At 39.5% G+C, this 25370-nt stretch overlaps 1 protein-coding gene and 1 long non-coding RNA gene across 57 annotated transcripts in view; one reads left to right on the top strand and one right to left on the bottom strand.

Annotated features, from left to right (window-relative positions):
* KCNMA1 (potassium calcium-activated channel subfamily M alpha 1) overlaps positions 1 to 25370 on the top strand; it is a 768207-nt gene that overhangs the window by 487017 nt on the left and 255820 nt on the right. The window lies entirely within an intron of this gene.
* KCNMA1-AS2 (KCNMA1 antisense RNA 2) lies at positions 692 to 9961 on the bottom strand. Its single transcript, NR_120654.1, has 3 exons — positions 9944 to 9961; positions 2974 to 3140; positions 692 to 951 (listed from the first exon to the last, which is right to left on the bottom strand). It is a non-coding gene; the product is annotated as a KCNMA1 antisense RNA 2 (long non-coding RNA).

Here is a 25370-nt window from a genome sequence, read left to right as displayed (position 1 = left end):
ATCACCAGAAACTTGAAGTTCTTTTGTTATTATTATCTTCTTTATCTCTCTCAGCGGTTCTGACAGAAGAATGATCATGAAGGGAAGTTTAAATTGTCAGCCAATGTAAGGTTTTGCATTATTTATGCACTTCTGCCATGTGGGCTATGCTCTCAGCACTTTTAAACTATCCATAGTCCATAGTTGGTTCTGATAAATGATTATTTATTTGCTGTTTTTCAGTTTTGCTTTTATTTTTGGTGATTGTTTGTACTTCTTTAAAGCAGGGACTGTGTCTTACAGTCCCTTTCTGGCCCTAACAGCTCCCAGAAAAGAACTTACCATGTAATAGGGATGTGGTGACTTATTGATGATTAATTCATTTTATATATCTGGATTCTTTCCCTTTGCTCACATAAATTTCCTGGGTTTGAAATTTATGCCTGTTTATTTCTTCTGTTGGCCCCTCATGTTGTCAGTGAAATGGCTACAAGAATGGCATTTGATGGAAGAAGAAGGAAGACAGGGCTGGCCTATTTCATTCTCTAATTGGATAATCAGTCCAGAATAATGATGGTTTGATTTTATTTGCAAACCTACACCTCAGGCAGTGGGTGAAGAACAACAGCATAAGCAACAATGCGAGTATGGTGTTCATTTACATCCTCAGTTTGTCTGTGGCAGGAAGAAAGAATCCACTTATTGCTAATGATAAAGTAGTAGACCCACTTTATTTATTTTCATATAAATCATATTGTGGCAGAAATTTTCATAGCCCGAGACCAACTTCTGGAGTTTTTCTTATCTGTGAGATTGTTCCTGTTGTGTATGAGCTGTTTTGCAGAGATCAAGAATCCCTGCTCAAGTGTGATCCATCTTCATCAGTGAAGTCATATGCTGCGAGGACTTCTGAGATACTGTCTGCTGCCACATGACCACTAAGCAGATGGTTTTGTGCCTCTTGCATGGGTTCTATGAAAAGATGGAGATTTCAGTGTCCATCCTCTGTCACTCACCAGTAGTATGCAGAAATGGGTGAGCCTAACAGAGTTGTTAGGTCAACAAAGCCTGCCATTCAAATTCAGATCAGTGACCTTGCACTCAGGGACAAATTGGGGTTAGGATGCAGGCTGAGATTGGAGACGGATTATTTCACTATGCATGGGTTTGACCAGGCAGCCCAACAGCACAGGTCTTGCCCATCAAAATATTGTAACTGCCTAAAAGAGTTGGCAAAAGTCTCTAACAAAACAAAGGGTTTATGAGCTAAGCCCATCTTGCATTCATTTCCTCATTCCTTCTACACATATTTAGTGAAGGCCACTCTACACTGGACATTGGGATATGAACACAAAGAAGGAGACAAGTCACACAGCCATTTATTTATAGGAAAAAAATGTTGAAATAAATACATGAGCTGAAGACTTTAGAATTACAAAATGAGACTTGCTAACTTGTTTTGGATTGGAAGAAATTAGTTTATGCCCATGACATCGCTTTATTCCAGACTGATTAGAAGCATAATGTACATGGCAGGGGCAGGGAGAAGGGGATGACAATCCATTCTTTGAAAGAGACTCTTCTCCCCTTAGGTTAAATAGATCGTCAAGTCCTTGCATGTCAAAAGCAGAGATGTGAATCACTGTCCTTCAGAAAGGGAAGAAAACACTTTAAGCAAGTGCAAAGTTCCCAGCTGTGCTAGGCACGATGGATTATACCCAAAGAAGTTGGACAGAGACCTTGACCTCAAGGATTTCATCGTCTATTTGAATAGAAATGATTTCTATATAACTGAATTAAGCCAGAGCAATAAAAATAGCATGATATTAGGTTCTAAAGTGAGTGTTGCAGGAAACAGAAGGAACTTCCAAATGTTGTTATTTACAGATTTCTACCTTGTGAAATGTAGAAGTACCTGTTCTCAAATTAAACATTCCTTCCTCATTTCAAGATGTCAGCTACATCAGAGGTTGACCAACTATGGCCTACAGGCTACATCTGGTCCATCACCTATTTTTGTAAGGAAAGTTTTACTGGAACGAGGCCAAGCTCATTCATTTTTGTATCATCTGTGGCTAGTTTTCTCACTCCAATGGCCGCATTGAGCACTTGCAATAGAGATTGTGCAGCTTACAAAGCCCAAAATATTTATGATCTGGCCCTTTACAGAAAAAAATTGGCAACCCCTGATTTAGATTATCCAGGTTGATCCTGGTGCTAATTTAGAGCTTCAGAATAAAACACAGCTGAGGTGTGCCTGGTAGCAAATTAATCCCCCCCAAAACAAGTACTTCATTTTCCTTAAATTAATGTTGAGCATCAGAATTAAACAGAGCTAAATCTCATGATACCTGAGGCCCTTGTGAAAATGTTTTTGCTGACCCAAGATTCAGTGTTATGCTTTCTGTCCTTACAGAGAGCTAAATCAAGAGTCCCCTTTTGGAAGGAGTACCTCTGTTCTTTGTAAACTGTAATTGAAGATATAACTCACCGTGTTCTTCAGTCTTTATTCAAAGCCGCTGGCACAAAAATTCTGCTTGAATTTAATTTTAGGATAGATTTGATCTCTGAATTGGCTTTATAGGTTTTCTCAGTTCACAATAGTCATAACCTAGTTGTTTCTCTCTTGCCATAGGTGACAGGCAATGCAGAGCCAATTTCAGAAGTGAGCTCAGTAGTAAACTCATGGCAGGTGCAGGATGAGGCAAGAGAGAGGCCTGGGTGCAAACATGAGGGTGGCTCATTCCCAGGGCTATGCAAAGGCAGGGTCAGTCCCAAAAGGAGCACCTCCTTACATGTTGTGCCTGAAGTGTCCCTTTCTCAGTCTTTTCTTGGTGGTGGCAGGTGCTGCCTGGCAATCCCCATCCCTTCTACTTTTAGATGGTGGGGGCCCTGTCCTGCTTTATCCTTGTATATGGCGCTTTTATTTTAACCATGTAAACTGATTCAGGTCCTCCCTGTAGTCAACAGAGATAAAAGTCTCAATAATCAAACCTGTGGGTACTTCAGTGACCAGGGACCACCATCTGTCCCCTGTGGGTCCAGACATCAGGCAGGAGGAAAAGTTGGGGCCATGTGTCAGCGTCCCAGCTGGGGCTCACCATGGGAAGTGGGATAAGGGAGGATTATTCCAGTTCTCTTCTTTGAGTTCAGGTTTTTATCTACGGGAAGAAGAGGGAGATTGGACGAGGTTAGATTCACTTGTCTCCAATGTCCTGCATGGGGTTCTGGGACAGACAATGCCTCAGAAATGGGAGGTCCAAGAGGATGGTGACTTTCACTGCTAGCTGATGATGAAAGGGAAAGGGATGAGGGAAGAATGGGCTGAATTAGAGGCTATTCCACCCCTCTGATGGTTAGCTTTCAGGGGGAAGGGAAGGAGGGAGGGAGGCTGGTGGGGTGGGAGACAAAGACGAATTGGAGATTAGGAAAGATTCTTTGGAATAGTCAAACCAGAGACCAAGCAAAGCATCTTTTTCCCTTGTAACTTGAGACCTGTGCAAATGACACAGGCTTCTAGTTCCCAAACTTAATAAGAGTAAGTGCGTGAAGAAGAGACCTGCAGACACTTAATTCAAACAGTCTAGAATTCTGGGAATAAGTTATAGTACAAGTTATATGTGGCTGGTTATAGATTCAGCCTTGATGTTTATGTTCCCTGTTTCAAGTCACACACATCAGATTACTCACTTGTCAGCTAAAAATAGGGCCATCACTGGCTTGCAAGTCGAGTTAGGTTTTATTTCTCTATGTGCTTCATTGTTCGTTCTTTTGTGCTCCCTCCTCTGTGCCTGGCCCCCTCTGCCATGCCCAGGTGGCTTCACAGTCCCCCTTCCCCATGGTCAATACTTCTTTCTAACTGAGGGATAAATGACTCTGAAAAGGAAATGTATTTCAATGGGGACCAATCCATTACACCCGAGAGAGAGAGGCCAAGTGCAGGGACTTCTGGAGGAGACCAGGAATGAGTGATTATGTAGCATATTCTGTGTGAAAGGCATTTTAAAACACACGTAGATCAATTTATTGTCACAGCCCCTGAGAGGCATAATTCTCATCTTTTTTCTTTCCTTCTTTCTTTCTTTTTTTTTTTTTTTTTTTTTTTTTTTTTGAGATGAAGTCTTGCTCTGTCACCCAGGCTGGAGTGTAGTGGCACCATCTCCGCTCACTGCAACCTCCACCTCCTGGGTTCAAGTGATTCTCCTGCTTCAGCCTCCCCAGTAGCTGGGACTACAGGTGCAGGCCACCACGCCTGGCTAATTTTTGTATTTTTTAGAAGAGACGAAGTTTTGCCATGTTGACTAGGCTGGTCTCAAACTCCTGGCCTCAACCTATCTGCCTGCCTTGGCCTCCCAAAGTGCTGGGATTACAGGCATGAGCCACCGCGCCCAGCTTCTCATCTTTATTTTTTACATGCAGTCATAGACATTCAGGTTTCATATAAGCAGCCAGGGTCTCTCAGTGCATCAGGAGCAGAGCCAGGGTCAAAACTTACATCCATTTGAACCCAAGGCACAGTTTTTTCTTACTGGGTAATGCTGCTGTCTTATGGGGGAATTTTAGGCATCAATAAACAAGGAAGAGAAGAAGGCTAATTTCTTTTGGGGGCTGGTGGATCGTCCCCTAAAATTATGTAGATAGTCATCTTTCCTATCTTAGCTAAATACAAATGTAGATTGTAAACAGCTCCTCAAGACTGTACATTTTTTGAGGATAGATTTAGAGCAAATCACATTTGTATCCCCAATATGGTTAGCCCAGTATCTGGCTCCTAGTAATAATTATAGCAAGCACTGACTGAACATTTCCTATGTGCCAAGGACAATTTTAACCGTTATAGATATTAATTCATTCCTCACAATAACCCCATGAGGTAGGTTACTATTACTGTTCCCATTTTATAGTTGGGGAAACTGAGATACTTTGAGTTGAAGGAACTTGCTAATGCTCACTCCCAATTAATGGCAGAGCTGGGATTTGAATCCTATAACACTGGGCCCAGATTCCGTCTCTTTTCTAAATAGGTACTCCATGAAAATATGTTGTTGAATAAATGTACTATTACTTTGTACAGGGTTGAGGGAATTAGATATGACTTCACTGAAGAGGTCAATTTCGTCTGAGTTCATTTCTTGGTCAATATTTTTAAATGAATGAATGGATTCCAGTGTCCTTTTTCTCTGACCACTTCTGTCTCAGAAAAACAAGCCTAATGCAGAGGAAGAGGAGCAAGGGAGTTTTCCCAGTATTGGTAGATGAAGATCTATGACTTCAGAGACAAATGAAGCCCTCCTAGAATTCTTTCAGGCAGACAATACCAGGTGGCACCATGGGACACACTGGTGGGAGGAGTGCAAAATGAGGATACAGTTTATGACAGTTTTTTTTGGAATAGACACATGTCCAGAGAAATGGGCCCACATTCACTTGTATGTGTGCATACGTTTGCATAGAATTCTCTTTTAAATATTTCAAATTTATAAGAAATCCTTTCTTGTGATGAACAGATTTATCTTGAAAAGTGTTTCCCATTTTAAAAGTCAGAGACTTGAGGCAGGGTTGGAATAACTTCCAAGAGCATGTGGCTCGTATGTGGAGATGCCAGGAACCAAATCCCCTGCTGCTGGTTCCAGGGACCACATTTATTGCCACACCTACAGGGTCCTAGGAAGAGGCTGGCAGATGTGCCCCATGGAGATAGGTGGGGTTTTTATTTACAGTAGGAGACCAGATTGCCCAGTGATGATGGGGCATTCGATGGCAGAATATAGACCAGTTTGACTGGGCCCTAGTGCTTTGGCAGATTTTTGGAGGAGAATTTGCTGAGTGTCAGACCCTGTGCAGAGCTTTGCAAACATCGTTTTCTTTAATCTGGATAGTTCGTCTGTGAAGTAGATGTCATAATCCCTATTTCGGAGATGAGGAAATGAGGCTAGGAGTTACATAACTTACTCAGATGTGCAGCTGCTGGTGGCAGAGCCTGAATACAAATCCTTCACTTCTCCAATTAAACCAGCCATCTCTGAGTTGCAGGGGTTTCATGCCATACTGCCCACTGGAAGTTGGGAGGGAATTTACAGGGTTACAGCAGATGATCTCTGTTTAGGCATCAGGTGAAACTTTAGTGTTCCCTAAATTGGTACAAGCAGACTCTGTTTGAGTATCTCTGTTGACAGGGAGATACCATCTAACATGGCAGCCCATCTCAATGTTTTTAATAAGTATATTATACATGCAATAAAATGCATAGATCCTGAGGGTGCATTCAGTGAGTTCTGACAGAGATATGCACCACTGTAAAATGGTCTGTCATCCATATCAACATAGAGAACATTTTTACTATCCTGGAATGTTTCTTTATGCTCATTTCTGTCAATATCTGCTCTCTCCTCCCTTGAACATAAAAAAATCACTATCTTGGCTTCAATCACTATAGATTAGTCTTGTCTGCTCTCAATTTTTGTATGAATGGAATCATGCAGGGTATTCACTTTTCTAACTAGCTCCTTTCCTTCAAAATAAGGTTTTTGATATTTGTATATATTGTTGTATATATTAATAATTTCTTCCATTTTATTGCTGCTAATATTCCATTATGGGATATACCACAATTTGTTTATCAAACCACCCTGTTGATGGCCATTAGGTTGTTTCCAACTTTGGCTTATTTTGAATAAAGCTGTTATGAACATCCTTGTACAAATGATTTTGTGGACATATATTTTTTTTTCTTGGGTAAATACTTAGAAATTGAGTCTCTGGGTCATAGGATAGATGCATGTTTAACATTACAAGAAACTGCCAGTTTTCCAAAGGAAGATACACCATTTTACACTTCTACTAGCAACGTGTGAGGGTGCCAGCTGCTTTGTTTCTTCACCAACACTTGATAATGTCAACTTTTAAATTTTAGCCATTCTAATGGATTTGTGGTGCCATCTTGTTGTAGTTTTAATTTTTATTTCTGTAAGTTCTTTGTCATATAAATGTACTGCAAGTGTTTCCTCTTAATCTGTGGCTTATCTTTTAATTTATTGTCTTTTTATGAGAAGTTTTTTATTTTACTGATATTTAATTTATCAGTCTTTTTAAAAATGTGAGTGCCTTTTGTGTCCTATCTAAGAAGCCTTTGCTTATCCGAGTGTCCTCAAGACACTCTGCTGTGTTTGTTTATAGAGGCTTCAGATTTAGCTTTTACATTGAAGTCAGTGATCCATCTCAAACTAATTTTGTAGATTGTGTTAGGTAAGAGTTGAGACTGATTTCTTTCCCTTTGTAGATATCCATTTTTCCTTCCATTTGTGGCGATGACTTTATTTTTCTCATTGAGTTGTATTGGTGCTTTTGTTGTAAATCAATTGATTGTATATATATGGGTCTATTTCTGGACTCTGTTTCATTAATCAACTTGTCTTTTTGGGGGGCACGACACATTATCTTAACACAACATAGTTTCATTATTTTTTGATGCCTATTAAAATGATCATATGATTTGTCTTTTAATTTTTCAATGTGGTGAATTACATTAATTAATTTTCATTTTTTAAACCAATCTTTTACTCATGGGATAAACTCTATTTACTCGATTCTAAAGTATTATTCTTTTTATATACTGCTGGATTCATTTGACTAGTATTTATTTAAGGATTGTTGTGTCTATGTTGATGACATATATTTTTCTGTAATTTTTTTTCTTTTCATAATACTCTTATTAGGTTTCAATGTCATGATTATTCTGGCATTATAAATCAAGTTGGGTTCTCTTTTCCTCCAGTCCCTGAAAGAGTTTGTGTAATATTGGTATTATTTCCACCATAAATATTTGGTAGAATTCTGCAGTGGAAACTGCCTGAACCTGAAATTTTCTTTGTGGGAATGTTTTTCATTGAAGTTTCCATTTATTTAACAGATATGTAGCTGTTTACATTTTCTATTTTTTCTTGTGTCAGTTGGAGAAAATTGTATTTTTAAAGGAATTTGTTCATTTCATCAGGGTGTCAAGTTTTGGAGACATAATATTATTCCTAATACTTTAAAATTATCCTCTTAGTGTTTGTAGGACCTGTAGTTCTGTCTATCATTTCCAGACAACTTTAGGTGTTGGAGAGTTAGTTTCTCACCAATTTCTTTTTAAACACATTGAGTTTCTTTCAAGTCAGGACCAGGCCATCTACTTCCCTCTTCAAGATATTCGTCATGCTGTTCCCTCGGCCTAAAAAAATTGCCATCACCATAATTTTTTTACCTGGCTGTCTGCTACTATATCATTAGGATATAGAATTATTGTGAAGCCCTTTTGCGTATGTATGTCACATTTTCCATACACATTCACTCAGATACACATTTATGTAACATACACATACACATACTCAGATAACTACTTGGGGTTTTTCCTTTTTCTTTTTTGTTTTCTTTTTTTCTTTTCTTTTCTTTTTTTTTTTTTAAATGGAGTCTCCCTCTGTCACCCAGGCTGGAGTGCAGTGGCACTATCTTGGCTTACTGCAAGCTCCACCTCCCAGGTTCATGCCATTCTCCTGCCTCAGCCTCCTGAGTAGCTGGGACTACAGGCACCTGCCACCACGCCCGGCTAATTTTTTTTTGTATTTTTTAGTAGAGACAGGGTTTCACCGTGTTAGCCAGAATGGTCTCGATCTCCTGACCTTGTGATCCGCCTGCCTCGGCCTCCCAAAGTGCTGGGATTACAGGCATGAGCCACTGCGCCCGGCCTACTTAGGGTTTTTCTTTACAGCACTTTAACCAAATTGTTAATTACAGTTATGATATATTGTTTCACTCTCTGATTATACTATAAATGCCACCAAGGCTGGACTTGTGCATTGTTCCTGTTAATCAGCAAATACCCAGTACCCAGCAAAACGCTTGGCACATAATAGATGCTCAATACGTCATGGTCAGGTGAATGAACTAATCCACATTGAGAAGAAATGTTATGCTTTGAAAATTCTACCAATAATTTTAGCCTTGCTAGAGGTCTGAAAAAATAGGTGGGGATTAAATTATGAGGAGCCTCAGCTAACAACTTGTGGAATGTGGATATTTTCCTGTTTATATTTTTAATGTTTCCCCTCTCTCTGTCTGTGTCATATTTTTGTTTACACTCAGTACCCTGGGAAGGGAGACTTTCATAGTCACTCTGGGCTGCCTTAACAAGATATCAAAAACTGGGTGGCTGAAATAACAGAGATTTATTTTCTCACAGTTCTGAAAGCTGGACATCTGAGATCAGCATTCCAGCATGGTCAGGTTCTGGTGAGGGCTCTCTTTCTGGCTTGCAGGCGGCTGCCCTCTCACTGTGTCCTGACATGGCAGAGAGGGAGAAAGAGCAAACTCTCTGGTCTCTCTTCTTATAATGGCACTAATCTCATCATGAGGGCCCTATCCTCATGATCTTGTCTAAACCTAATCACTCCCTAAAGTACCTCATCTCCAAATACCATCACATTGGGGTTTGGGCTTCAACCTACGACTTTGGCAGGGATGGGGGTCCATAATGTAGCCTGTAACAGAGAACTAAGAGGGGGCTGGGGTTGGTAATGAGAGAAGATGCTGAAAACAATGGGACAAAGAAGCAGGGGGTGGGCCAAGGAGCTCTAATGAGTGTCTCCTCCCATCTTCCTCTGGATAGCCCAGAATCCCTCTTCTTCCTCAGTCCTGTATGTAGGATTAGCAGAGGATTTGCGTATTTGGGTTATGTTAGTGGTGGGAGGTGGCCACGACAGGAGGAGTAGGACAATTCAGTTTTTCTTTCTTGTTGGGCATCACATCCTCTAAGGGAATCCTCCTTATGAGTCCTCAGTTGTTAAGCAGGATTACTAAAATAAAAGAAACGACTTAGTGGGCCCCAAACTGCAGCCTCTCTCACACTCTATTCTATACCACTTGATTTGAGGAATTATAGCCTTTTCTCTTTCTATCCCCCTAAACCATGTCCAAAGGAGCTTACATGGTTATTTCCAGCGTGAAGCTGATTGATCAGCTCGCAGGACATCGTGGATCAGAGTGCTTCCCCCGCCCCTCTTAACCGCCTTTCTGATGTGGCTGCGTGCATCCAGTGCCCAGAGCATGCCGGGGTTCTTGCAAGAGGGACTGGAGGGTGAGGGAGGAGAGAGTGTCTATTGGCTCCACCAGGACATAGATGCTGGTGACCCACACTGCGCTGGACAGGAGGACCTGTTTGCAGCACGGGTCAGAGGAACACAGGCTCCTCCAGGTCTTTCCAGAGCATTGACTCCTGCAAGAAGTGAATGGAAGGGAGCCGAAAGCCTAGCCCATCTCCCTCCTTCTACCATGATCCCCAGTAAGATTCTGGTGTACCGCCACCCATCCAGCAGAACCGGCACAGAGCTTTACAGACCCGGCAGGCGCCGCAAGAAGTCCCTGGGGGACCTGTTCCATAATGGCTACCGGGTGAAGTCTGGGCCTGCTGCTCCGGAGAAGGAGGAACCGCCGAACTTCCGGCAGTCATTGGTGTCTTGCTGTGGTGTTTGTGCATCCTGGGGTAAGGACTCACCCGTCCATGGCTCTTCTCCTCCCAAAAGTATTCCGTATTCCTGGAGGCTGCCTGGGAAAAAAAGTGCTTTCCGTCTAGGCTGGATTTGGGGAACTGTCTAGTGGAGAGGTGATAGCCACCTTGATTCCTGTTTTCTTGGCATACCCACCCAACGCAGATGTGCTGGGTGAGGCAGAAATCTCGTCCTTCCTTTTTAGATGAATTTAACTGGCCTCTAGTGCTCCTGAATGTTATTGAGCTATTAAAGAATATATTTCAGAAATGTGGGAGAAAGTTTGGCAAACGATGTAATAGCTTGCTTCCTATTTATTAAATGGCAATAATTTTCAGTGAGTCAGCATTTTTGGAAGAGGCATTTGGACCTATCGATAATTTTTTTTTCAGGGGCTACAGTGCGAGTTGTGGCTCATTTTCTGTCCTTACATTTGACCATGGGAGCGTGGTCTTGCCTGTCTTGGGTGGTACTTTTTTATTCTTACCCAGCAGAGATCATAAGAATAGTTTTCTAGGCAGATTTTCTTTTCTCAACTGCTTTCTGATAGGCATTTGGCTTTATTTAGGCATCCATAATATATTACAGTTTAAAACAAATAGATTAAATGTACATTTCTGGCCATAAAAATGTCAGTCTTAGGGAGGGATAGCTTTTATTTCCAGGAAAGTTAGCAGTACTAGGAATTTCTTTAAAATGGAATGTAGTCCCTTTGAAACCTAGTTTAGGATTCTGATGTGGGTAGGCACAGCTCAAATACTTCTGCATTATGTAATTGTGCCTAACAAAATTCCAGTTGGCAAGCAATAAGTGAAACCTAGTCAATCCTTTTCATTAGAACTGATATAAAATGTTTCTGTCAGCTGAAATGCCTGGAATCTAAATATTCATGCTTCTGTGTCTATAACCCTAGAATTAGCTGGCCAGATTGTTATATTTCCTCTCCCTTCATCACAGAGAAGAGCTGCTCTGTACTGTAACATCTGGCCTTGGAGAGAATCAGGATTAAAGCCACTAGAGAGAAGAGACCAAATGATGGAATTATTAAGCTAAGGGCACATACACTACTTCCTGAGAAAACGTTGAATAATTGAGTAAAACCATGGGTTTAACTTAGTATCCAATACCCTTCTTACTTTTCCTTTGAAAGGATTAATGCATTTATTAATTTTCAGTAGTGAGTACTCACTATGTACCAGTCATCACTGTTCTAGAAGAGGGTGCACTTGGTAGTGAGCCAGTGAGTGAGACACCTGCCCCAATAGAGCAGATAGTCTGCTGAGGAACGGGCAGGAGGCAGGCACCTGAACAAGCAAATGAGATCATTTTAGATTGTGGTAAACCCTATAAAGAAGAATGGATAATGGCGGCGAAGGACTGGGCTCCAGATCGGGTGGTCAGAGAAGACCTCCATTAGCCAACCTTGCAATGATCTGGGGGAAGAACATTCCCAAGAAAAGAAACAGAAGGGAAGACTCAGAGCTGAGGACGAACTGGGAAATGTTTCTGGAGCAGAGACACTGTGTGCAGGGCGTGAGGACATGGAGAGTGGTGATGAAATGAGCAGAAACCATGGAGAGCCTTCCAGAGCGAGATAAGGAATCTGAAAGTAATTTTAGTGAGATGGATGCCATGTAATGGCTTTTGGCAGGGAGCAATGTAATCTGATGGATATTTGAAAAGACCATGCTGGCTGCTTTCTGGAGAATGCTGGTGGGGCCTGGGGGGACTGGGGTAGAGAAGTGAAGCAGGAAGACCCGTGTGGGGCTCTTGGTCCAGATGGAGGTAACAGCAGTGTGAACCATGGTTCTGGCAGTGGAGAGGGAAAAGATAAGTTATTTCACATATATTTAAGATGTAAAGTCAGACCAGGCAAAATGGCTTATGCCTATAATCCCAGCATGTTGGGAGGCTGAGGTGAGAGGATCATTTGAGCCCATGAGGTCAAGACTCCAGTGAGCTATGATCATGCACCCCAGGATGGGTGACCATGAGACACTGTCTCTTAAAAAATTCAATAATTTTAAAACAAAGTAAAGAGGTAAAGTGAGTAAGTCCTATTTGTTTACTTTTAAAAAATGTGTTTCTCTACTTACTGGCTCCTCTATTCAAATAGAAGACCTGGAAGCAGGAGCCTCACCCCTGTGCTGCAGCATCTGGAACCACAAGGGGTGGTGGAAGCAGTGACTCTGTGCATGTGTGTGGGTGAATGAATGAATGAATGAATGGGCGACAATCCCAGTCTGAATATCAACTGATGTTGAGCATCTATCAGAACAGGAACCAGGACTGGGTTAAGGTAGGGAGCCAGGATTGGCAACATGGTGAAACTGTGTCACTAAAAAAATAGAAAAAATTAGCTGGGCATGGTGGCTGGCTACTTGGGGGGCTGAGGCGGGAGGATCACTTGAGCCCAGGAGGTCGAGGCTGTAGTGAGCTGTGATCGTGCCACTGCACTCCAGCATGGGTGACAAAGTAAGACCCTGTCTCAAAAAATTTTTTTAAAAAAGTAGGGAGCAAAACAACCTGAACAATTACCAAAGGAAAGGATGGTGAAAAGGTCAGACAAGCAAGAACTGTTTATAGAACACACATTCTGACTGTGGGAACAAAAGCCCAGGGGCATTTGAGAGGAAGCGAGACAGTCCTTTTTCTCCAGCTGGGAAGGAGAGGCTCAGATTCACTCTGTGCTGGGGCTAAGAAGCAGGTGGTCCTCACAGTGACCAAGCTGGGGATGGGAGGTGGGACCTGTGATGGCAGAAGGGTGCAGGGGACCACCCTGAAGAAGCCTCCCCATGCTCCTGGGCATCCTCTGTTTACCCTGATATGCCTGCCCTCAGTTTGATCCCTCTGAGCTGCAAGGCCAGATAACAATGACCTTGTCAGACACCACAAAAATAATTGCTCTTCAGGATTTGCGTGGGGCTGCAGAGATTGGAAACGACAGACGTTTATTGGAACCTTTCAGCTTTTTGGATTTAAAGATTAAGGAGTGAAAGGGAATGGAAAATAGCAAATTGGAAAACCCTGGCAGGCTTTCTGGTATGGGCTTGGATGTGTTTGCTGTTGTGTTTTCTGTCTTGTCCTCTCCCGAGACCTCACATGTATGAATCTCCAGAGTCTTTTCTCTCTGGGGATCACAGGAACCCTGAAGCAGTGAATGAGTTATCATTTACCTGTTTATCCCTCAATTTCTGTCAGTACAGTAACTCTGCTTTTATCTGAGAAGGGAGTTCAAGATCCCTTAATCTGTCTGGTCATTGCTAAAATTCCACAGCAATAGTTCTCAGGAGGAGCCTCACCTAGTTGTTCAGGCCCTGGGCAGCAAGTTTCGAAGGGAAAGCTCTGGCAGGGGGTCCTCCTCACCTGGAGCCAATGGTCTCATGTGACTGAATCTTGCATGTGAGTACAGGGCTCGGAGCCAGGAAAACCTGTATTCCAGTCCTGACTTGCCACTGACTTTATGACTACAGCAATAAGTAATTATGCATAAAAATAGAAATTTTGATATAAATATTACAAAAAAATTAAAAAACTCAAGAATATTAAAGAAATCCAAAATGTCTGCCTTTGTAACATGGCCACTGTCATCATTTTATGCTTTTCTTCTACTTTTTCATTTTACACATACCTATAGTTTTCATAGTTTTATCATAGGGACCATGCACTTCATCTTTTACTTCTTTTTTTTTTTTTTCAGCATTTCCAATTTGCTATTTTTAAAAAATTGTGGTGAAAAACACATAACATAAAATTTACCATTTTAATTATTTTTAGTGTACAGTTCAGTAATGTTAAGTATATCCTATTGTTGCAAAACAGAGCTCCAGTACTTTTTGATCTTGCAAAGTTGAAACTCTAAACCCATTAAACAAATAATTTTTCCTCTCCCCTCAGCTCCTGGTAATCGCTATTTTAATTTCGACATTCTACTTCTTTAACTTAACATTATGTCAAAAATTTTCCTTGTTACAATCTTTGAGCATATATAATATCCTATAAAGAAGATGTATCAGACGTAAGACCTATTTTTGGATTTTAAGCTGCTTTCTATTTTTCTTGCTTAATGAACAATTTTGCAATGAGCATCTTTGTTTCTGTAGCATATTTCCATATTTTGTTATATTTTCTTAGGCTATATTCCCAGAAATGGAATTACTTTGATTAATAATGCTGAATTACTTTCTGAAAAGGTTTTATCAGTTTATAATTCCACAATGGAATTATAAGACTATTTCATTGTAGAGTCATCTCCACTAGGTGAAGCTCAAATATGTTGCTATTAAGTAGAATAAATACAGTGCTTACTTATTTTTGTTTAATTTGCATTTCTTTTAATTTTTTAAAGCATTTTTCAAGAATACTATATGGTTATTAACTATAGTCACCATGTAATACAGTAGATATCTTAAACTTATTTCTCTTATTTAACTGAAATTTTGTATCCTTTGACCAACATCTACCCAACCACCCTTCCCTCCAACCGCCCCAGCCCCTCTTTCTATGAGATCAGCTGTTTTATATGAGTGAGATCACGTGATGTTTGTCATTCTGTGCATGGCTTATTTAACTTAATATAAACTTTAGGTTCATCCACATTGTTGCAAATGAAAGGATTTATTCTTTTCTTGGCTGAATAATATGCCATTGTGTATATATATCACATTTTCTTCATTCATCTGTTGATGGACACTGCGGTTGATTTCATACCTTGGCTATTGTGAATAGTGCTGCAAAGAACATGGGAGTGCAGACATCTCTTCAGCACGTTGATTTCATTTCCTCTGAATATATACCCAGTGGTGAGGTTGCTTGATTGTATGGTAGTTCTATTTTTGGGTTTTTGTGGAAACTTTTTACCTTTTTCCATAATGGAAAATAGTACTAATTTACCTTCCCATCAACAGTATGCAAGGGTTCCTTTTTCCCACATCCTCACCAACACTTAACCTTTTGTCTTTTCGATAATAACCCTTCTAACAGATGTGAAGTGATAGTTCATTGTAGTTTTAATTTGCACTTCCCTGATAAATAGTGATGTCAAACATTTTAAACATTTACTGTTGGCTATTTGCATTTCTTCTTTTGCGAAATGTCTATTCAGGTCCTTTGCCCATTTCTTAATTGGGCTATTTGCTTTCTTGCTATTGAGATGTGTTCTCTATATATTTTGAATATTAAGCCCTTATCAGATGTATAGTTTTCAAATATTTTTCTCCCATTCTGTAGGTTGTCTCTTCACTCCGTTGATTCTTTCTTCCTTTTTTTTTTTTTTTTTTTTTTTTTTTTTTTGAGACAGAGTCTTGCTCTGTCTCCCAGGCTGGAGTGCGGTGGCATGATCTCAGCTCACTGCAATCTCCACCTCCCGGGTTCACGCCATTCTCCTGCCTCAGCCTGCCGAGTAGCTGGGACTACAGGTGCCCACCACCACACCCGGCTAATTTTTTATATTTTTAGTAGAGACGGGGTTTCACCGTATTAGCCAGGATGGTCTCGATCTCCTGATCTTGTGATCCACCTGCCTTGGCCTCCCAAAGTGCTGGGATTACAGGCGTGAGCCACTGCGCCCCGCCTCTCTTCACTCGGTTGATTCTTTCTTTTGTTGGGCCAAGCTTTTTAGTTTGATGTAATCCTCTTTGTCCATTTTTGCTTTTATTGCCTGTGTTTTAGGGGTCATTTCCAAAAAATTATTGCCCTGACCGTTGTCATGGGGCTCTTTCTCAATACTTTCTTCTAGTAGTTTCACAGTTTTGGATCTTAAGTCATTAATTCATTGTGAGTTGGTTTTTGTATATGGTGCACATTTTTTTTATTTGAACCAAGTTAAGATAAAATAGTTTCATTTAATTAATTTATTTAATGATTATTCACTAGTTATATTATCTACTTCATGATGTAGCTGTTTGATTTTTGCCTACTTATCAACTAATGATAAAGTATTTTACATACATGCTTTTGACATTACAAAGAATTTATCCTTATTGTATCATATTTGATTATTTTTTCATTGGATATTGTGTTTATTATGATTTTAAACATGCAGAATTTTGACGTTTTTATGGTGGTGGCAGAGCCTGTATTTCAAAGATTGTATGACTCCTTTTACACATGAAATTAGAAATTCTTCTTTTCAGAGGGCTAATAATATATACCTATATTTTCCTCAATTTTTCTGTCCCTTATTATCTATATTTAATTTTTAATTCATCTCAAACTTATTTCCATTATGGTATGAGGTCCATCATTGCATGATGCCTGTCTTCCTTTTGATTTGTGATGACCTCTTTATTGTCTGTAAAATTCTTCTGATAAAATAGAGTCTATTTCTCTACTGCTTAGTCATTGTTGCCATGCTCTTATTACTTTCTTATTCTATTGCTTTGTGGTAAATGTGACTTAGATGATTTTTGCATTTTAGATTTTGATGAAATTTCTTTGTGGCCTAATATGTGGTCAGTTTTTGAGACTGCTCATGGCTGTTATTAAAGAATGTGTGTTCCTAGTTTACTAATATATGTGTGTGTCTTTCTGCCCATCCATTCAGATACATATAGATACGAATATATCCCAAGGGATTAAATGCTACTTAAATGTCCTATATTTGTGCATTCTTGTCATATTTGCTTTATTTATCTCAAAGGAATACTTTTAGGTGTATAAAGTTTTTTTTTGTTACACATTCTTTGTGGATTGTTTCTTTTATCAATATGAGATATTACTTTTTATTCTTTTTAATATAATGTTTATATATAATTTTTATATAACTTTTTGCAGTAGCTGCCACTTTATTTGATATAGTCATTGCTCTATTTGTTCCTCTTTTCTCAGCATTTGCCAGGCACATAATTTCCATTCTTTCATTTCTAACTTTTCTGTATGTCTTGTTTGCAGTGTATGTCTTTTAAATAGCATGCGCCTGGAATTTATTATTGTTGTTGTTTTCATATCATGTGAATCTCTGTCTTTCCATAGGTGAAAGTAATTTTAATTTAATTTTATTATGATTACAAATATATTTGGACTCTTTTGCTATTGTAACTATGTTTTCTGATTAATATACCTTTTATTTTTTTTTTCTTTTCATTGGATGGGCTGAAGTTTTTGTTCTTTTTTTCTTTTCTCCATTTGATTAAATTCCTTTGTCCTTTTTTTTTTCTCTAGGCTATGGAATTTATATCCTTAAGGTTTTGATACACATACTTTAATTTTTTTCTGTTAATATATATGATTGATTGTATCCTATCAAGACAAGAATTTCTGCACACCTTTCTTTTTCCCATTGCCCTCTCTCCTTCACACCTCCATCTTCCATTTATTTCCAGAGATTTTAATTTTGGATCATTGTTATTATTTATTCATTTAAAACATACTCAGTCAACACATAAATGAATCCATTACTTTTATCTTTTCCATGTTGCTTCTTGTATCTTGCTTCTTTTGGATTTATTTTTCTTTCAACTGGCTAAGTATATATTACTTGGTTCAAATTAATCTGTCCTGAGAATTGTAAAGATATCCTTCTTTTGTTTTCTTGCAACCAGTGAAGCCAGGAGAATTGTGACAATAATTTGACTCTTGTTGCTTTGAAGGGATTTATTTCTTCACATTGATGTTATAAAATTTATCCACAATATGCTTGGATTTAGGTCTTTGAAAATGTAATCTGCTGGCCGTGGGGCGGAGCTTGCAGTGAGCCGAGATCGCGCCACTGCACTCCAGCCTGGGCAACAGTGCCAGACTCCATCTCAAAAAAAAAAAAAAAAAAAATTTAACCTGCTGGACACTTAAAAGACCTTTCCAATCTGAGGATACAGGTCATTCTTTCGGTCTAGGACACTTTAATGTTATTTTAAATGTTTCCTGTTCTCTATTTCCTTCATTTTTTCCTTCTGGCAGCTCAATTACATGGATGTGGAAAACTTTATTCCTGTTTTCTGGGTCTCTTAGTTTTTCTTTTGCACTTTTCATTCCTGTGCCCCTTTGTATGAAGATGGCTGTGTGATAGTTCAGCCCTCTACTTTGCTGTGTGGCTATGCCCATTCTTCTATTAAGCTGGCCTTTTAAGATTTTGATGTTCAAAATTTTAATTGCTAAGATATTTAGTTGATTTTTTGAGTTGAGATAGTTTTTCACAACTCTTTATATTTTTCAAATATTTTTCTAAAGCATTTTTTGTTTAATGCTTTGTTAATGTTGTATCCTTAAGGGTCAGTTGGCCTGAAGTGTAATATGTGCATTTCTTGAAGGAAAGTTGCCTTTCCTCAAATGTTTGGCAATTCTTTAGTTCTTTTCTTCCCTTTTCTTTTCTTTTTTTTTTTTTTTTTTGAGACCGAGTCTTGCTCTGTTGCCCAGGTTGGAGTGCAGTGGCGCGATCTCAGCTCACTGCAACCCCTGCCTCCCGGGTTCAAGCGATTCTCCTGCCTCAGCCTCCCAAGTAGCTGGGATTACAGGTGCCTGCCTCCATGCCCAGCTAATTTTTGAATTTTTAGTAGAGATGGGGTTTCATCATATTGGCCAGGCTGGTCTCGAACTCCTGACCTCAAGTGATCCGCCTGCCTCAGCCTCCCAAAGTGCTAGGATTACAGGCATGAGCCACCGTGCCTGGCAACAGCTGGATAAATTTTCACGAAGAGAATGCATTTGAGAAGCCAACGCTCAGCTCAAGAAACAGTCATTATTGCCTGTCACCCCCTAGTCCCTTCTCCTGGCAACCTTCTAGTCACTACACCCCACAAAGGTAACCACTCTCCTGACCATATATCAGTTTTGCCCAGTTTTGAACTTCATATAACTGGGTTATATAGAATGACTCTGTGTCAGGCCTTGTTCTCTCAGTGTTACGCCTGTGTGATTCATCCATGTGGTTATATGTAGATGTACTTGACAGTGTTTTTTTGTTTGGAGATGGAGTCTTGCTCAGCCTCCCAAAGTTCTGAGATGACGGGCATGAGCCACCGTGCTTGGCCTGTTTTGTGCTTATCTTTGCATTTGAGATCTTCTGTTAGCCTATATGTGAATGCTGTCTTTGTGTGTTGCAGTTTGTCTGGGGAGTACTGAGATATGCTACTGTGTGTTTCTATTCGGTAACTGGTCTTACAGCTGTAGAGACAGTGTGTTTCTTCCAAGAGTTACAGTTTACTCAGGATATTGCTCTATTTTAACACCTCAAGTGTATGCACTTGCTGCCATGTAGTGACTACTCCTGTTTGGCACCCCAGTCAATCAGTGTTATTGTCACAGCCTCCTTCTTCCCAGGGTCAGCCACTTCATTTCACCTTTTGGATGGTTGTTTTCTTCTTCACTGTGATCTCTGCATCCCAACCACCCCCCCATCAACCTCAGTCTTTATGTATTGACCAAAGACATTTTTAATATTCTGTTTATCATTGTGGAGATAGACATATGTGTGTGTATATGTCTTTCTTTCTCATTATGGAAATATATACATGGAAAATATATGTATATGTTTATATAAATATAAATAAATACATATATATGTATGCCAAGTCAGTTTCTAACAGAGTATCTACCCACATTTTGTGTTCGTCTGTTCTGTGTTGTAATCTCCTCTTCCATTCTTTTTGTTCTTGTGGGATTCTGCTGTTTCCTACCCCCTCAACATTTGTATTAGTTTAGTGAAGTTTTGAGAGGGGGCAGACATAAACCATTGTGATCCATCTGCTATGTTTAACTAGAATGCTCTGGATTATCATTTTAATTCATTGATGAATAATTTATGTTGGTATTATATACAGAATTTTGGCATCTATGATCTTAGTGATATTAGAATACAGATGCTTCTCAATTTAACCATGGAGTTACATCCTCACAAACCCATCATAAACTGAAAATATTTTAAGTTTGAGAATGCATTTAATACCCCTCACCTACCAAACATCACAGCTGAGCCTACCCTATCTTAAACATGCTCAGAACACTTACATTACCTACTGTTGGGCAAAATCATCTAACGCAAAGCATATTTTATAATAAAGTGCTGAAAATTTAGTGTAATGTATTGAATACTGTACTGAAAGTGAAAAACAGAATGGTTGTGTGAATACTTAGAGTATGGTTTAAGGTGAATAGGTATCACTTTTGCACCACTGAAAAGTCAGAAAATCATTAAGTTGAACCATTGTAAGTTGAGGGCCATTTCTACTTTATTTTTGTGCTTTGAGAGTCAGTTTTTGGTCCTCAGTTTATGTTTATTTTATAATATAAGTTAGTAGCTTTAGATCTCGTTTTGTATTATGGAACAGTTTAGAATTTTAATAAAATGTATGTGCAATAATTTAATCATAAATTATATATGGGTGCAGAGTCTGTAAGGGAAGCTGTTACTATATATTTCAATGTATATCTCAATTGTTATCCTATAATGGATTTCTTTTTTGTGTGTATCAAGTTTCGAAGTTTATATTTTTCAGAAAGTCATCCCTCTCACTGAGGTTTTTCACAGATTTATTAGAATATCATTGTGGATAATTTTTTTCTTTTTTTATTGGATCAGCCAGAACTTTATTTTGTTTGTTTTCTTGTTGCCATTGTTTGCTCCCATAAAATTCTACAGATTTTTAAAATTTTTTTTCATATTTATTGGTTTTCTGGTTATTTAGTCATAAACACTGAACTAAAAAATCAGCTTTCTCCTATTGTCAAGACTACTTTTCCCCCAAAATCTTAAGCTGAATGCTTTGTTTTATAAATAATCTTTTATTGTATTATTGATTTAACTTCTAGTTAGCCAGTATGTTCTTTAAAATTGATTTAAATAGACTGGTAGTGTGCTTAGAGGGTAGATTACTGGTTTTAAATTACTCAAGTGATTACTCGGATTAACGGAAATTTGCTATTTGGAGAAAAAATAAAGCATTCTCCTTTTGGCATACTACTAGCCAAAATAAATAAATACATCCTGATGGATTAACAAGTTAGAGGTTAAAAAAAGAAAATAAAAGATACTCTAAAGCAGTGATTCCCAAACTTGGCTGTACACTGGACTCATCCTCATCCATCATCTGGCTGTACATTAGAATCTTCTTGATTAGAAAAATAAAGCTTGGTCCTTTTGGTGCACTGTTAACCAAAATAAATAAATACATCAAAACAGATTAACAAATTAAAGGTTAGAGAAAAGAAAATATATTCTGAACCACTGGTTCCCAAACTTGGCTGCACACTCGAATCAGAATTTATAAAAATTCTGATGCCCAGCTTGTATCCCAGACCCGTTGAATCTGGTGGGAAGCAGGCCTCAGTATTGCTTTAAAATCCTCGGGTGATTGCAATGGCAGAGAAATCTGGGGACCACTGCCTTGCAGCCTTGTTTTCCCAAAGTGTGGTCTTCTGACCAACAGCATTGACGATAGCTTAGAGCTTGTTAGAAATGCACAGTATCAGGCCCCATCGGAGACCCACTGAGTCAGAATCTGGATGTTTACAAATGCCAGGTGATTCATGTGCACAATGGATTTGAATCCCATGCCTCCAAAGCAAGTGTAGAAAATTAGTGTCCATGGCCTATTTATATGAATAACATTTTACTGGAATATGGTCACACCTATTTGTTTTCCTATTATTTACAGCAAAGTTGAGTCGTTGTGACAGCCTAAAATATTTATTAATATTTACTATATGTTCATTTATAGAAAAAGTTTGCAATGCTTCTTAACCTGGATGGCTCATTAGAATCACTCTGGAGCCTTAATACTCCCTCTGCCTGAATGTACCCCACGCCCATTAAATCAGAATGCAGGTAGGGGGTGCTGAGACCCAGGTGTCAACAATTCTAAAAGTTTCCCAGGTGATTTAAATGTACAGTCAAAGTCCAGAACCAGTGCCCCAAAAGTACAAAGAAAAAAAAATAGATGCAGTAAAAAAAAAAAAAAAAAAATTATCTATATGATGGGGATGGCCAAAAAAATTTTAAAAAAAGGGAACATGGTAGAAAGATTGATATATTTTAGAATTCATGGGGAAAGAAACCCACCTTAAGTAAAATTTGACAGTAGGAAAAATACTTTAAGCCAAATTGAGAAGAATGACGAACGGTGGGAGATAATATATGGTATACAAAATCTTCTTTATATGAGAACATAATTGTATTACTACAATTAAGATAAATACACAGGCAGACTGGCAAAGGCCACTCTAAAGCACTTTAGAGAAGAAAATAAAATGACTAATAATTATATGAAAAAATAATTAGCTTCATTTGTTAAGATAGAAAAGCAAAATAAAACAGCCATGAGCTCTTATTTGGGGTCTATCAAATTAGGATTTTTTTTTTAATTTTTAAATTTTTAATTTTTTTGAGATGGACTCTCACTCTGTAGCCCAGGCTGGAGTGCAGTGGCGAGATCTCGGCTCACTGCAACTTCCACCTCCCAGGTTCAAGTGATTCTCCTGCCTCAGCCTCCCAAGTAGCTGGGATTACAGGCACATACCACCACACTTGGTTAATTTTTTGTATTTTTGGTAGAGGCGGGGTTTTACCATGTTGGCCAGGCTGGTCTCGAACTCCTGACCTCAAGTGATCAGTCCACCTCAGCCTCCCAAAGTGCTGGGATAACAGGCATGAGCCACCATGCCCGACCTCAAATTGGGATTCTTACCCTCGTTCTCTCCCTTTCCCCTCCTGCCTTCCTGCCTTCCTGCCTTCTCTCCTTCTCTCCCTTCTTGCCTTCATGCCTTCTTTCCTTCCTTCCTTCCTTCCTTCCTATTTTCTCTATCACTGTACTCAATCCAGTGGGAATACAGGCAAAAGAGCATTTGCATACTGAAGGGAATGCAAATTGTGAGGACAAGTTGGTAAGATGTATCACAAGTCTTGAAAGTGTGTGCTTGAGTCCTAATGTCTGAATTGGAAATGACTGGCTGAAGTCTGTACAGGGCAGTGGCTAGAAGCTTGGGCTTTGTGGAGTTTGTCACATTTGTGGTGAAACTTGGCTCTGTTGCTTTCAAACTATGCTGGATACACTGTCTCATTTGTGTCTCCTTAGCTATTTTCTTCTGTGTACGTATTTTTTAAAAAAGATATAGTTAGAAGTTTTAGTGTGTGTAAGTAAATAAACATACTAGATATCATCAATAATAATAGATTAATGTCATTGTCAACATCATCATTTCACCAGTAATTTAAAATAATAGTAACACTATATGTACTCTGTGTGTGTGTGTGTGTGTGTGTGTGTGTGTGTGTGTGTGTGTGTGTGTTTGTGTGTGTGTTTCTGGGCTTTCTAGTCCAGTTTGATGACTTTTCTGTGGCGTGTGTACACTCCTACGCTATTGTAATTCTTCATATGATGAAATTACCATTTACTGAGTGCCTCCAGTATGCCCACATGGACTCTTAGAATGCTCGGTCTTCTGGTATGCAGATCACCAGGGTAGGATTTAATGCCCATGCCTGTGAGGGAATAAGGGTGGAGAACTCAGGCTGGCTGCAGCTGCCTGGGAAGCCTCAACCCATCCCACAGGAAAAAGTATCCCAAATTGAGGCAAGGCAGCTGACCTTTGTCCCTACATCAGCCAGCATTTGTGTGTGGTGGTGGGGGGGGGGTGGGGGGGTGGGGGGCACCACCACTGACAGGGGATGTAGCCCCAGGTGAGGCAGCTCCTTGTAGCAGAGGGCAGTTCTCATGAAGGGACTAGCTCTGAGCCTTTAGCAGGTCACTCTTCAAGAGCCCAGGACAAATAAGGTCCCTGAAGAGGGGATTTGGGCTGTACCCTACAGCATCTGCTATAGCTCATGTCTTTTATTCATTTAATGCAGTCTTGGATATGATACCCTAGTATTTTATTTAGGATTATTGTTGTTAGTCATTAGTGTGATAAGCTTGCCATTTAAGAAAAAATGCAAGGGAACTTGTGTCCAGGTAATGCCAACTTTCTAAACCAATACAGAGCATGGAAAAACACAGATAAGTCCATTTTTAAGAATTGATCATATAATAGAGAATAGATAGAGAAGTTACTATTTTTTGAAACTGTAAAAATCTCACTTGTAAAACTCTCTGAACCTGGAAGCTTTTGGGGAGGGCATGTAATTCCTGGCTTTTGGTATATACACATTTTCTTCTTCACAACTCTATTATAGCTATTTTGTGTTACCTTAGAAAATCATTTATTTCAGAGATTTTATAGAATAAAAATAATAAAAGATATTATAAAATAGAGAAGATGAATAATTGTCACCAAAGAGTTCCCCCTCTCACCTCTCTTATCTTGGTCTCCTCTCTTAGCCTGAAGTCGCTGTCTGTAGTCTTCTGGGCTCTTTCTGGGTATAGCCAGAGTGGTCATTCGTTAAGGCTTTTCCCTGATGAGGCTACTTTCTACTTCCCAAGAGTGCAGCCCTGACCTCTCTCAGGGGACCCCGCAGGGCTTCTGGCTTTTCCCTTTAGTAGGCAACATATAGTCTCAGAATTCTGAATGTGGATTATCTAACCTTTAACTCCGCCGTCTAATTATTTCTCAAAACTTTGATTCACTCATTCAGTTCAAACAAGGATTTATTGAGCCTTCACCTTATGCCAGACACTATGTTCAATGCTGGAAATATAGCCCTGAACAAAACAGACATCAGCTCCTCCCCTCATAGAGCTGATGCTAAAGAGAGGAAGGCAGAAAGTAACCACATAACCGAGGTGCTAGTGCTTCATGCTGAGGAGAAAAGTGAAGCAGGAAAGAGGATAGGGAGTTGCACGGGTGGTGTGGGAGGAGTTGCATGTTTAGGTCGGGTAGCCAGGGAAAGTCACGCTGATCAAGGGACATTGAGTAAGAACCCAAAGGAGGTGAGGGAGTATGCCATGTGGGCATCTGGCAAACAGCATTCCAGGCAGAGAGGCTGCATGTGCAGAGGCCCTG

Source organism: Homo sapiens, chromosome 10, assembly GCF_000001405.40.
Source record: "Homo sapiens chromosome 10, GRCh38.p14 Primary Assembly".
NCBI lineage: Eukaryota > Metazoa > Chordata > Mammalia > Primates > Hominidae > Homo > Homo sapiens.
This window is presented reverse-complemented; position numbering and strand designations above follow the sequence as displayed.